The 15,797-nt window shown below is 36.4% G+C and overlaps 1 long non-coding RNA gene across 1 annotated transcript; it reads left to right on the top strand.

Annotated features, from left to right (window-relative positions):
- Positions 1 to 2,453: 2,453 nt before the first annotated feature.
- LOC105379368 (uncharacterized) lies at positions 2,454 to 8,481 on the top strand. The gene is made up of 3 exons (XR_949663.2): positions 2,454 to 2,620; positions 6,536 to 6,701; positions 8,397 to 8,481. It is a non-coding gene; the product is annotated as an uncharacterized LOC105379368 (long non-coding RNA).
- The last annotated feature ends 7,316 nt before the right edge of the window (positions 8,482 to 15,797 follow it).

Raw genomic sequence — 15,797 nt, forward strand, 5'->3', positions numbered from 1 at the left:
TCCTTGCCTGGTTTTAGCGGGCTATTATGGGTTATTAAAAAGGTGCACTGGGTCGATGCAGTGCCTGAAAGACGTGCATTCTCTCAGGTATTTTATATACCACCCACCCCTCCCCCATTGGAAATATCTTTCTATCAAGGACTGAAAACCTTCCCACAAACAAGAGATGTCCTCCTTATCTAGCAAGTCTCCATATGGATACAAATTTCTAAAACCAATGGGATTGAAAAGATGAGCCTAGTCAGGGTGACCAACCATATGTGTAAGTGAGTTCTTTCTCTTAAAATTCCATTCAAAAGACAGAATAAATAAAAATGTATGAATAAACTTATGGTGAACATGGAAAAATGAAAGAAGACTATCCCTAGACTGAACAGTGATTTCTGAAAGATATAAATAGATTATATTCAATGAACCCCAACAGAACAGAGGAACTTACATATGCAACTGAATGGAAGATTCTCCAACATAAATAAGGTGAGTTTTCTTAGCGGAAATTTATAATAAGAACTCAGTCAATGGAATCAAATTCAAAGAATGGGCCACAGGTTAGCAGGCTGGTGTATTAATTAGCTTTTGCTGTGACAACAACACACTCAATATCTTGTTGGCTTGCAACAAAGAACATTAATTTCCTACTCTTGTGTCTGAAAATCAGCTACAGAAGCTTCACTTCAAAAGTGATTTGGGTTCAGATCCTCTCCAAACGTGTTTTTATCCCAGGATCCAGGTTAAAAAAGCATCTCCTACCAGGGGTGTTCTGTTTTCATGGTCAAAGGCTGCAGCACATACAGTGAGTATGTCTCCGCTGCCTAGGCTTGGAACTGGGATACAATATATTTGTCAAAGCAAGTCACATAATCAAGCCCCCAGATCAATGTGACAGGACATATACTCTAATCCACAGACAGTGTAATTATTTGAATAACAAAATCTACCACAGTCCTTCTTTTTAGTCATAAATATCCACATAATTCAAAATACAAATTACATTCACCCTTTCTTCAATGAAGAAACCCTAAAGCTTTATTCCAATGTGGTATCTTGCTTGAAATCCAGGACCTCAGGGTAATCGCTTTATCTGGTCTAGATATAAGTCCTCTTGATCCAGAGACCTCTGACCTAAAATGACAAGTTATCTGCTCTCAAAACATTCAGCATACAATGTGGGACCAGAAACAGGATAACTACAGAAAACACTCGTATCCAGAAAAGGTGAGTGTGGAAGACACAATTCTGAAACCCAGCTGGATGAACTGCAAGGCACCCTCCCTGAGATGGTAGAGAGCTCAGCTCATTAAACACAAGTTTTACTTCCTGGGAGTAACTCCACAGTCCATCCTGTTCCATTGGCTCTTGACTCTACCTTAGAGAATTTCTTCCTGTTTCACTTTCTCTTTGGACACATCTGAAAAGGGCAATCGAAAATATTCCCTTTAGGGTGGCTGAGAAGCACTTTTACCATTTTCTGCCTGTCTAAATTTGGGTGCCTCTGGGTCATTTTACAACTCAGAGAACAGTACCTTTTAGCCCAGCTTAGAAATGCACTTGTCAAAAATGTAGTGTTTTTTGTTTTTGTTTGATCTATTTTTATCTATGTCATTCCATCAGCTCCATATGCCAATGTCTCCATCCACAATTTGTTGCAAGATATAACTCTGAGTTCCTAACTCTGAGCTTCTTGGACTTCAGTAGAAACATGCCCTTTCCTGTTATGTCTATTATAAGGGTCATTCTGACCAGTTAAAAGGCTAATCTGGGGTCAGATTAATCAATTGGTGGATTTTAAAAAGGTGTCACGGTTGTAGCCTCGTTAGGGCCTCAGTGCCTTTGCCCCAAGTTCCAGTCTTGATCTCAATCTCACCAGGGTTTCCTCACTCAAAGCTGCTCTCCATTTTATCTTTGACTGTTTGTCAAGGAGACACAGATGCATCCTTCAATGCTGAAGTTGCCAGCATTTATGGATTATTTCTTTTTTTTTTCATTCCTGATTTCTTGTTTTGTTTTTCCTTGAACTAATATCTTTTTCTTATATAACCTTCTCAAACATAACCAATAGCTATTAACTCAGCTACCAACATTCTCTCTTTCTACTGCATTAACCAAGGACATGAATTTATCAGATATTTTGACTACCTCCAAGATATTGCAGGACACAGTTTAATCAACTGTTTTGCCCTTACAATAGCATGGATTGTCTTTGTCTAGTTTTCTATAACAGTTTCTTGCAATTCACTGTCCTTCCCTAAAGGTAATAGTATATATTTTAGTTGATATTTTTAAGAGTTGCTTTTGTTTTTATAATGACATTACTCTGTTTCTGGTACCAAATTCTGTACTAGTTAACTACTGCAGTAACAAACAATCCTTAGAACTCAATGATTCATGATGTCAAACATTTATGTCATGCTTACAGATCTGTAGTGGCTCTGTTCTAGGTTTTGGGAGGGATTCAGGTCTATTATACATTTCTATTTTCCAGGATTCAGACTACAGAAGCCATAGTTACATGGAGCGTGTTCTGAAGCTTGAATTCAGGAGTAAATGAGGATAAGCAAATGACACAGTACATTTAAATGGCCTCTCTGTAAATGTAGCACATGATTCTGCAATGGCTAAGGTAAGACATGTGGCCAACCCCAGTATTAGTGGGGCAGGAAGTATAATCCTCCCACAGATAGAGGTAAAGCAGAAGTGAGTATGTGCTAAATAATAATGCAATTTGCCATGTCTTGGCAGTAATTAATAACTGCTGTGGAAAAATTGTGTCAAGTATGCATTTTCATATCAGCAGGCACCCGTATTTGCCCTCAGGGTAAAACTGCAAGTCAAGTTTACTTCTCACAAAATAATTAGGAATTCTGACATTGGAGACATCCAAAGAGGGAGCTAGTGCTAGAAAAGTAGGGCAATGTCCTACATAAATTGTTTTTGCCAAAAGGGACAAGAAATTCCTATACCCAGAAGACAAGCTCCATGTGTAACACAAAATAGGATTCATTAATTTAAGTTAAGGGGGTCTTGGGACTTATGAAGGCAGAAGATTTGTTTCATTTGGCAAAAAAAAGTGTTTAAACTTTAAAAAAAAATCAAAGTAATGTAAACATGATACACTGTCCAGTTCTCCATAGTAGTCAACACCTATATTGCTTTAAAACTCCATCAGCTTCAGACATTTGCTTTACCTACGTGGCTTCTAAAGGCAATGTATTACAGTTTATCATGTTCTGGGAAGACAGCCTGCCTGGCCACAAATTCCCTTACCGTGTCCTCCACTATGCCACAAGCCAAGGCCACAAAATTGGAATACTTATTAACTGCAAGGGAAACAGTGGTTTTCTCCAAAGCTTAGGAAATACTCTCTAGCTACAAAAAGTGGCCAAATTATAAAACCTCACTTGCAAAAAGGTTGAGAGAAAAAAAATTACAGAAATGACTCTTAGGAACCAACACACAACAATTAGTTGGTAAGTAAACAGAATAAACACAGAAACCTAAAATAAATGGAAACTAAACACAGTTTTAACTTTTAGATATGAGATAATGTAATGGGAAGGAAAATGAGAGAGAGAATGAGTGAGAAAGAGGGAGGCAGGGAGGAAAACAAAGAGAAGAGAAGGAGAAAAAAGGGTGGAAATATGAAAGCAGAGTGATCAAAGGTATTGGAAACGAAATTACGGAAATGATGGTTACAATAATAAAAGGATGATACAGCAGAATGTTTACAGACTATATACATTTAAATATGTAAATTAAACATAGTATACAGAAAGATCATGACAAATTATTCTTTCAGATTACCAAGTTATGAGTAAAGGAGACACAAATTCTGAAATTTAAAAAAGTGAGTTAGGGAGTACTTGTGTGGGACAGTTAATACCCCACTCAACAGGGAAGACAGTTGCAAATATTTGGCAAACTCTATAACCAAGGTGCCAGAAAATCATTACTAATACCAGGCCAATCAGAACAGATTCCATCTTGTACACCATACTGATAAGTAGCTGATAACCAACATGGCTTTAGAAGAAATCTCAGAATAGAAAACAGAAAGAACAAAGTGAGAAGTGTCTTCAAAGTGCTTGATAAGTAACATTTTACTTTAGTTAACCAGGAAGGAATAAACTGGCTTCAGAATTCTAAACCATAAGATGCTTGCTTACAATAAATCAATGCTGTCAAAATTCTGATAAATAATAATAATAATGATCATTACTTCTCCTTTTAATTATATTCTTTACAATTATTTTCTCTTAACTCTATACTCAGGAAATGCCTTTGGTAATGTCAGTGTTCAACTAGAAAGGAATTTTCCTCCCCTGTGACTAGGCTTCTAGCTTTCTAGATTCTTCTGTACCAATTCAAATCCTAATGCAGACTCACTTCACTACACTCTCTCAATTGTCTATATCCAAGCATCAAAGAAGAATTAATTAGGGAAATATGAGAACTGTATTATAGTCAATCCTATGATTTTTATAAGAAAGCCCTCAGTGTTGCCTAATACTGAATTCTCTTCTGTGTTACCCCTCAGGTAGATAGTGCTGGACTTCCTGCCTGGCTTTTGATTTTGCTGTTGCTTCTAAGCACTGTCTTATATTATTCTATAGGCTGGCAGTCACATCCTTTTTCCCAAGCTTACCATGTCAAGCTTTCGGGATGTCACAATAGCTGAAGAATCCTAAGTTGAAACTTGTGGCAGAGGGAAATTTGCTATTTCTTTGAGATCAGAAATTAAGATAGTTTCTCCCTAAGACACATTGTGACAAGTAACTCACAGTAGAGGATTAATTAACTCAGGTTGAAAATAAACCATTAAATCAATTTTATCCCATCATAACCGTAGAAAAGTTTTTTTTTTTTTTGGACTTCGTATCTTTTTATTAGATTGGTGCAAAAGCAATTACAGTGTTGCCATTACTTTTTATTGTTGTTGTTGTTGAGATGGAATTTCGCTTTTGTTGCCCAGGCTGGAGTGCAGTGGTGCGATCTTGGTTCACTACAACCTCTGCCTCCTGGGTTCAAGCAATTCTCCTGCCTCAGCTTCTGGAGTAGCTGGAATTACAGGTGCCAGCCACCACACCCGGCTAATTTTTTGTATTTTTAGTAAAGACAGGGTTTCACTATGTTGGCCAGGCTGATCTCGAACTTCTGACCTCAAGTGATCCACCCGCCTTGGCCTCCTAAAGTGCTGGGATTACAGGCGTGAGCCACTGCGCCTGGCACCATTACTTTTAATAGCAAAATTGGCAATTACTTTTGCACCAACCTAATACAATTTTGCTTTCAGAGTAGATGAGCTAACCATATGATTTAGTAGGAGGAAACTTCTCTTTCAAACAGGAAAGAACTAAATTTGAACACAGCTTTCTTAATTTATTAGTTGTATAACTTGGAAAGTGTGCTATACTTATGCCTAAGAATTTCAATTTCCTTCATATATACAATGAGCATAACTCCTTCTAACTAGAACACTTGTTGGATTGTTGGAAGACAGAGAATTATGAAAAATGCCTGGTACTCAGAAAATTATGTATATATTTACTATCTTTATTATTGTTTTACTCTCAAAGGGGTCTAGATTTTCCATAAAATTAGCAAAGTTTAGAGGAAGATTTCTACAGAAGGGAACATTCTTCCTGTTTTGGCAGCCTGGTCCACAGGAAGATTTGTGAGCTGAGTGATGAGTCAATTTGTTGCCTAGATGAATTATATTCAGATAACCTCACCACATCTCTCCAGAGAACTGTTTATAAGGTTACGAGCTCATCAAGCTCTTGCCCTGTGTAACAGAAGCTGATTGGGTTTTAATGGTAACATGTTGAAGGAAAAACTAGGCTTCCAGAGACCTCACAAAGCTGATTGGAGTTCTGCCTTCCTTTGCCCTCTGCTTCTTTGTACTTTTGACAACTCAAGGTGATGGGGAAAGTTTCTGGGCAGCTAATCCTTTTGGGGTTATGATCAAGTTAAGGAAAGAGAGAAATTTCTTTGGTGGCAAGTTTCTCTCTTTTCCAGGAATTAGCATGCTCACTTTCCCCATAGAGCCATCTCAAATGGTTACCAAAAAAAAATTTTTTTTTTTTTGAGGCAGGGTCTTGCTCTGTCTCCCAGGCTGGAGTGCATTGGTGAGATCATAGCTCACTATAGCCTTGGACTCCTGGGCTAAAGGAATCTTCCTGCCTCAGCTTCCTTAATATGCTGGGATTACAGATATAAGCTACCACACCTGTCTTCTATTTACAGAAATGTTACAGATGAGGATGAGACCAAACTATCTCTTCTATGTAGTTTCTGCTAACTCTAACATTAAAATTTGGATCGGAAGCCTATCAGAGTAGTTGTTTACTGTATTGGTAAATAAATGCTAATTAATAAAATATCACCCGGAAAAAAATGGGTGGCATATATCATGTTTCATAAATACTTTCTTCTTTGCTTCTTCATAAAATGGTGGGAAGCAATTACTTCTGTTTTATCTTTTGGTAAAAATATATATATTTTATATTGTGTATTTTTCTCTGTCCCTTTGTGCAAGCTCCATGTAAAGCACCTCTTCTTGGACTTGACTTTCCAGTGTGCCTTCTTCCTGTAAGTGACACAGGAGCAGCAAGGACTGCAGGAGCACACAACCTGCCCCACAAGATCTGTTTCATGCAGCCTTGGGTTTCCAGAGGATTCATTTCTAATCTCATCTATTTTCTGTAAGCTCTTTAATCAGCCTTTAATCCTCTCTCCTTCCTTTGCCGGAGGCAATTAAATCGTATGTGTGAATGGGCAGTCTCCAGGAGGTCTGCAGGATGGGACCCTTGGGATGCCTGGGCTCCTGGGGTGGGGATGATCAGAGAGTCCAATGCAAAAGCTGGTAAAGACTGGTTCACTCATACCAACAGGAGTGCAGAGTTACCATCATCTTTTCAAGAAGACAGAATTTCCCCCTCAAGGAAGAGGGTCTTTCTGACAGAGCATTCGATTCTGGGAAAGACACAGAAAGCAGGAAATGACTTCTGACTAGGCTACAGACCTCTGAAATTATGCTGAGTGATAAAAGGGATACTGATGCTGTTGCAGCCAGACCGCTGTCATAGGCCTTGCCACAATCAGAGGTGTTAATGACACCAGCCTCTGCAAAAGATGGGCAGGGCTTTGGTTCCTCTGTAAAGCCTTCCATGGAACAACCATCCACCCATTCTCTTATTCTTTAGACTTCTTGTATAGCAGTTGTGCTTCCCCTAGCAATTAATCATGGGTTTCCTGATAGCATTTCTTAGTTTATTTTCCTGTAGTATTATTTAGTTATTGACATGTATCTGCAAATGTTTTAACCTCTCATTTCTTAGTAACAGGATCATAAAATTATTTATTTCCTTCTTCATACTGTTTTGTGAATCAATTATATGTAATTTTCAAGGACCTCTATAGGTGGAATGTTTCTCAACTAGAAAATCTCATGACTTGAAATATAGCATTGACAGGACATCAGTTAGATTCCCCTGACGATTCACAAATCAGATGAACTTTGCTAAAGTAGGGTTATTATTATTATTTTTTACAAAGCACCTACCCTATGACTGTCTTAGGCAACAGGGATGTCCAAGAGAATGCTCCTATTCACAAGGATTTGATTCTCTAGTAGAGCAGAACCATCCAATAGAACTTTCTGATGATGAAAATGTCCAATAAGATAGTCACTAGATACACGGGGTTATTGAGCACTTGAAATGTGGCCAGTGTGACTGAGAAACAAAAAGCCTCATTTTATTTAATTTTGATAAATGTGCATTTAAATATCCCTTGTGTATTGGCCCCTAAAACCCATCATTAATTCTCCTCTAGCCCTCAAAAATAATAGTTGCAAAATGCAGTTTAATCCGCAAATAAAAATGAGGTAAGTCTCTACTCATTTTTTCCACTGATTGTTTACAGTACAACAGAAAAGCAAATCATGACGAGAATGAAGCCTGAACTCTGGGATTGTGGAGCTTGCTAGAAAAGGGGAGCCCTGACTAGAAATAGCTAATGAACCAGCACAGGAACTGCACAGAGTGAGAGAGCTGTGAAGATGAAAGAACATAGATTGAGTTGTTCAGTGATGTGGAGCGCCTATCTAGAAAATAATTTATCCTTTGATAGTTCACTCTGGGGAATAGGCAAGAATGGATCTTACTTTGCAAAAAGAAGTGCTTTTTTATAATGGATCCCCATGTAGAAATGGATAAACTAGCTAGTAGCTTTTAACTAGATTGCAGATAAATGGAAATGATTATAGAAAGCCAAGCAAATTAGGCAGTAACTATGCCATCCCCACCAACTCCCCACAGACACCTTTGGAAATACATTACCGTCTGAGACAGCTCTGCTCATTTATTTCCACCTTATTTGTATTCCTCTCCTTCCAGGATATGTCACACAGGATGCTTATATTTAAAAAGCAGGACAAGACAGTCTGGAGAACTTTTCAGCTCCTGCTGTTAACACACTAACACGAAACAGACACTCTGGTGGACTCCCTGCAAGTAGGCTGGGAGCAGCTGATGCTGAGGCTTGTCACAGCACTCAGAGAAGTTCCTGTGAGCCGGAATTGTTGAAGCTAAGTAAATTACTCTCCTGCTTGGGTGCTCCCCTTGCCTTACCTTTGTGCCTCTCTAGGGCTTGGGTTTTGCCCAGCTTGTGGCTGATGAACCAGAACCTAACTCTGTATGCTGAGCGATTGCAAAAATGAAGGCATTCATGGTGATGATGATTTAAATGGTAACCCTTGGAGACTCGGGTTTGGAATCAGCATCATGAAACTGTCTATATTATTGAATGTGAAAAACACAAGTCAAACACAGCAATGAATTAAGTAGTACAAAAACGTACAGTTGTTTCCTGCATTAACGTGTAATGTTGAAGCTTCCCTAAGCACATCAAGAGAAGTACATTGCGGAAACTACTCGGGCTTCTGTTCTCAAAAGGCAGGCAGACTACTCCGTGCTAAACCATCTAAATGTATTGTAACATAATTAGAGTTGTTCAGAGTTCTAGGGAACAGCCTGTCAATTCTTCCTGGATTTCCTTTTTAATTTGCCTCGGGAGCATAGAAGACACTTCAGAGCCTATTTAAATAGAGACAATCTTGCACAGGTAGAAATGTAAATATCCCTGTAAGGCTAAGTGATGATGCTAAAATAAGCTGTTGGAGATATTTGCCAACTGGTTTAAGCTACACATTTGAGGAAGCATGTCCTCTAGGGAGATCATTTTGAATCTTGCATTTGCCTAATAATTCTTCCCCATTCCTAAATATGGGGAATATATTTTAAAAACTGAGGATTTTGTTATTTTAAAATTTTTATAATTTTGGATCTTATGACTGAGCAATTCCAAATATTTATTAAATGTATGTGTGCGTGCGTGTGTATTCACCAAACAGCATGTCTAAGAATGTTTCAGCAGCATCATTTGGAAACAGCCCACATAACCTACCTGCAGTAGAATAGATAAGTAAATTGTGGTATAAGGGAATACTATAAGGAATAGTGATATAAAGGAATACTATACAACAACAAAAAGAAACAATTATGACTACCAGCAAGATGGATAAGTACCACCAATGTAATGTTGATGATGGAAACAGATACAAAATAGTACATTGATACATATTCATGATTACACATATATTGTTCAAAATCAGGCAATTTTGAAGCTGCAAGTCAAGATAGTAGTTAATAATAGATAAGGAAACAAGGAGCCATTCAAGGTTCTGGGGTGCTGGAAGTATTTTCTCTCTTCATCCAGACATACATGGGTGTGTTTAGTTCAGAAAAATTAATTGGACTCTACACTTATGGCTTATATGCTATCCTGTTAGATATTGCACTCAGTGGAAATGTACTGAAACAAAATAAAGTTGTTTCACATTTTAATTTTTACCCAAAGAAAAAAATTTAAAAAGCTCATTTTACATTCTCATTGTTCTACTAACAGTCAAACAATATAAAACAAGCTTATTTTGTATAATATTTTAATTCATTTTGTTAATACAAAACACAACATTGAACAAACTATAAAAAAGTTTAATGATTTTTCATAAATTATAAATTTGTATCCAAGTAACCAAAACATAGATTCAAAAATAAAATAAATAAATATATTCCTAAATAGATATATGGACAACCATAGAGAAATACCCTATTCTTATTTAAACATGACTCTGCTGATAACCTATGAATGAATAGGTGCTTTTTTAAAATATTCATTGGTTCACAATATTTGGATAATTTACTTCTGTGTCTACATAAGAAGGTAGTCGAAATTAAAAAAAGAAATAAAATATAAGTTTGGTTTTGCTCTTTGTAATTTGATACATGTCAATAACCAATTTAATAACATTTTAAACAATACATTTGGTTTAAAAACTTTCAAGAGAAAAATTTGCTACCATGTTGACTCTCTGACTGGTCTTCTTTCCTTAGAGCTCTTTGTCCTATAACAAATCCCCCTGCCTCTATCATCCACCAGATATATGACTTAGCACATCACAAAGTCTTGGAATGCTTTGATTTCATGAAGCAAAATGATGCCTTCGGCCTCTTATTTTGGTCAATTTTATGAGGCTTCTGTCTCTCTTTTTATTCCCATTAATTCATTCATTCAATAATTTATTCTTAGTACAGTGATAACACAAAGAATTATATAACATTATAGTTTCTCCCAAAGAGTTTAAATGAGTTAAAAGAAAAATACGCAAGTGACTTAAATATTAACTTACAAAAGAGTTCACAAGCAGTAGATGAAGAAGTTATATAGAGAAGAGAGAAAAATCACAAGTTCCAAAGACAGGATTCCCAACTTTTTTACTTTAGCAACTAAAACATGGCTGAGGCAAAAAGAGCAAGATTTGCCACAAACTGAACTCTTCTTCAGTATTCTGTAGAGATATTTTACATAATTTGATAATGTTCACTTGTGTTTGGAACTAGTAATTATTTTAAAATAAGGTCCTTAACCCAAGCAATGTATACAGCCAAAGCAAAATAAAACACGCAAGCAAAAACCAGTATTTTATGAAAATTAAAAATGAAGCCAATTTCAATTGTTCATTGCTTAACTGAGCCTGAATTGTATTTTCTTTGTATATTTTTGCACTGAACTTCTTGATTCAGTTATTATGCATTTGGCTACTGGAGAAATCAACTTTAACTATTTAAGAGAAAGAAAAGAAATTTTCTGGGAGAATCTAAATGGTTCAGAGAAACTTCTCAAGCCTAAGTAAGTACTGGTCTGGACAATCAACAAAAAAATACAGCTACATGATCTTAGAAAGTAGAAAGTATAATCATAGTCCTTTAGCAAGTACACCCTGATCAAGACACTTCCACTGCCTTGATAGTACACAGCCACTGAAGTTGGGCATTCTGCCATTGAAGGATACTTGTGCCATCATTATGGTATACTGATAGTAGCGCAGCCATTAAGGTTTGCATCATTTGCTTAAAATTTAAAATCCTAGATAAAAGTATCTTATCAGCATCAAATAACCAACTCTTGGTTGCTGGAGTGAAAAGAGAGGCCAGCACTGCCTGCCACCAAAAACAAACAAACAAACAAACAAACAAACATTCTTTACTAGGAAAGGCAAGTGAATGAAAGCCAAATAGAAAAAAATCTACATCTGTTTAATGGCAAAATGATCCTGTCTACAATTGCTTGTCTCATTATTTTTCTCTGTTACAGGTCTGTGTTCAACTTGACAGTAGAAACAGCAGCTTATTGTTGTATCTCCCAGTGTCTATGAGAATGTTTGAGTTTGAACATGTAATAGAAGCCTGATGAATAGTGGCTAAGTGGATGAATAAATTAAAACAATTAGTGAATCAGTTCAAATCAGAGCCAACCAGAACCAACACTTGTGTAATATTTAAAACTCTCAGAATATTCTTATACTTGAATCTGGACCAAATCAGCATTTGGTTTGGCCTTAAAAATCAATTTTAAAAAAGACTAATACCTCAATGCAAATGATCAAAAAACATAAATGTAAAGTTTATAAAAGAAGAAATACAAATATATCGATATACATATGAAAATCTTTTAACGTTGCTGGTTGCTTAGTTATTAAAATGCAAAATAAAGTAAATATAAGACACTATCAGAGTCCATGGAATCTAGTTCAAATCTGGGCACACAATGTTTATATAATAACCATTCCATGTATTGAATATTCTCTTTATTGAATAAAAGAATGACACAATTCCAATCTCAGCCATAAAAATGGCAGTAATTGAATAAATTATAAAAGGTAATATTTCAAGTATGTGGTGGGAGGGGAAATAGGTACAACCTTTCTAGAAAAAAATCTGGCAAAATGTAGTAAAAATCTTTAAGAAGTTAAAGTAATTCACCTGACTAGTTTATATAAGAAATTGGTGCTTAAAAAACCCAAAGCTGTGCATAGCTATTTACATATAAGAATATTCATTTCTGTGCTCTTGATAATAGTAATAAGCTGAAAGATAATTTAAATGTTGAAATGATGAAATTAATTAAATACACTCACGGGGTGGAATATTATGCAACCATTAAAACACATTGTCAAATAATATTTTTCACACTATAATGATTAATGGAATAATATTTACAATATAACGTTCAGCAGATACAATTCTGGATACAAAATAGTTTCTTATATAACATATACACAGATATATACTTAAAAATTACTAGAAAAAATATATCTAATGTTAAGTGGTGACAATTTATTAATAAGGATATTAAAGTCAGGTATTATCCCCCACTTTCTTATATTCTGTGTTCTATATTTTCAACAATGTGTACATATTACAAATTAATAATATATTTTACTTTATTCTGTTCTTTCTTTTAAATACTTTATCTCAATAAACTGACTCCATTGTTTTTTCTTTCACATTTTTCCCATCACACCCTTTGTTCCTGACGAACTGACATATGTTTCTTTTCTGTCCTTTATTTATTTTTTTATATTTGTTTATTTATTTATTTTTGAGATGGGGTCTTACTCTGTCGCCCAGGCTGGAGTGCAGTAGCATAATTTGGGCTCACTGCAACTTCCAACTCCCGAGCCCAAGCGATCCTCCTACCTCAGCCTCCCGAATAGCTGAGACCATAGGTGCATGCCACCACACCCAGCTAATTTTTCTATTTTTGGTAGAGAGAGGGTTTCACTATGTTGCCTAGGCTGGTCTTGAACTCCTGAGCGAAAGTGATCTGCCCACCTTGGCCTCCCAAAGTGCTGAGATTACAGGCGTAAGCCACTGTGCCTGGCTTATTCTGTCCTTTTAAAAAGAAGGATTTAGGAGGTTCTAGTCTGACATTCTTTAAGACACAAAACAAGATTTCCTTGTCTCTATAACAGTTCTATTCCTGATCACCAGTTTCCATAACTGAGCTATGCCTTGCATCCTCAGCAACTGACTTCTCCAATAACAACTGCTTGTCCCCTGTGGTCTCCATTTATCTGTCACCAGTTTCTGACTTGCCATGCCCAGGACCTTACAAACACACTTCCGTAATGCTGATCATGTCATGCACCCCCATCTGCTCAGAGTCAGCACACAAACTATCCAGAAACCATATTCCTCTTGCTGGAACAGCTGTTCCAACTCAGACTGTCTCTCAGCACATCTCCAACAGCAAATGCTAAAGAAAGCTCTAGATTCCCCACCCTCCCAGGGTGCTCCATCTCACTACAATGGACAAAGCTCAAGATGGAGATTGCTTGAGATTTGAAAAAGCTCTAAAAAGCCACCATTTTTATTATTAAATTTGAACTTGGGTAAATAGAATTTCTTCTTCGTGGGCACTGAGAATTTTCTGTAGCAATGTGCTCCAGAGCCTTTTAAGAGGCAGCGTAACAACTCAGGACTCAGAATTCAGACTCCCTAGGTTTAAATCACATCTTTGCCACTTGCTATTTGAATAATGTCTGGAGTAATTAACTTAATCATCCAGTGTTTCCACCTTGCCATTTGTAACATGGGCATAATTAATACTTCATAAGATTATTGTAAGGATAAAAGGTATTATTAAAAGTGCTTAGAAAAGTGCATACATTCTAGTGAGTGCCACATAAGTTGTAGCTCTTCTACAGGTAGAATTTCACAGCCCTGTTTTGTTACTACACTTCCAAAGCTTTAAATAATTACCTTCTGAGAAGCAAAGGAGTAAAAGTGCTCTGAATTATATCAGGTATCAGAAAAGGGCAGACTAGGAAGGTATCATTTGCAGAGGATCTAGAGCTCTTTGGCCAATATGGGTTGTAGACAGTCTTCAGAAAGACAAGAATATAAAGGGAACTATTGTGGCTGTCCAAAATAGTAAATGAGGGTATTTTCCTGTTTTATGATCTAATCCTAATTATAATAAAACAAGTCTCTTCAATACTCTTACCCCTCTAAGCCGGGCTTGGGGTGTTGAGGGAGTAGAGGGAAGCTATATCTCAAAATGGTGAAATCCCATCATATAAAACGGTAAATCATGTCTGTTTTCTTTCAGTTTAAGTATTGCTTCTCTAAACCGTGAGGCAATTACTCAGACTCATTCGTAGCTCTCCTAATTTTTTATTTTTCCATTGCTTGTTCTGTAGACTATGAGCAACACACTTCTCAATTTCTGGATTTCATTAAATTTGTCATCTTTTCATTCAGTTTCTTTTACTCATCACCTGCCACAATATCACTGATATTCAATGGTAATTTAAACAAATGTCAAATAATTTCCTGTGCAAATTTCACCTGATAATATTAAATCAATAACAATTCTTTTTCTCTTAGTTTCAGCCTGCAGCACACTACTAGTTATGGCCTACTAGAGAGGAAAAAGTAAAATAAAGACTTTGATCTCTTAAAAACTAAAACATCTAGTTATTCTAACATTTGTATAAATTATGTTAGCTTGCTTTTTTTAAACTAAAAATACTATATAATAGGGGAGAAATTCTTTGAATTTGTGAAGCAGTGGGGCTCACATACCAGTATTTGTAGGTCCTGAGAGTTAGCTCTATTAAAATGAAACCATTCAGAAGGCAAACTGGAAAAAAATGCTACCATACCTCATATTTTGTGTTTCTTTTTGTAAAAAATTAAATTAGTCAGGAAATTAGAATGAATCTGCACATTCAGTCTCACAATCCTCTCCAGTCATTCTTTCAAACAGTTCCTTTAAAGGAAAGCATTTTGTTGATTGATTGGTTGATTGAATTTATTACATTATTTTTACTTTAGACTCAGGGAGTACATGTACTTGTACATTGTACATTGTTATATTACATCATGGCTTAGATTGGATTCCAGTCACCCAAATACTGAACATTGTACCTAAGCTTGTATGTTACATGGGTATATTGCATCATGATGTAGATTGGATTCCCATCACCCAAATATTGAACATTGTACTCAATAGTCAATTTCTCAACCCTCCTACTTTTTGGAGTCCCCAGTGTCGATTATCTCCATCTTCATGTGTATGAGCACCAATTGTTTAGCTCCCACTTATGAGTGAAAACATGGGATAAGAAAAGCATTTTTTTAAATATGAGAATTTGTGGTAGACAAAAGATGGCCTCATCTACTTTTTCAGCAGTCCCATAGAGAGAGACCAGACTTACTACTCCCCCTTTGAATGTGGGCTGCCTTGGTGACTTGCCCAACCAAAAAAAGGCAATTCCAAGCCCTCTGAAGTTAGGCCTAAAGAAGCCTTGCAGTTTCTGCCCAGGCCTGTAGGAATACTCTCTCTTGACTTGTGAGCTACCATGCAAGAAGTCTAACCCTTAGCCACCA

Source organism: Homo sapiens, chromosome 8 (assembly GCF_000001405.40).
Source record: "Homo sapiens chromosome 8, GRCh38.p14 Primary Assembly".
NCBI classification, from domain to species: domain Eukaryota; kingdom Metazoa; phylum Chordata; class Mammalia; order Primates; family Hominidae; genus Homo; species Homo sapiens.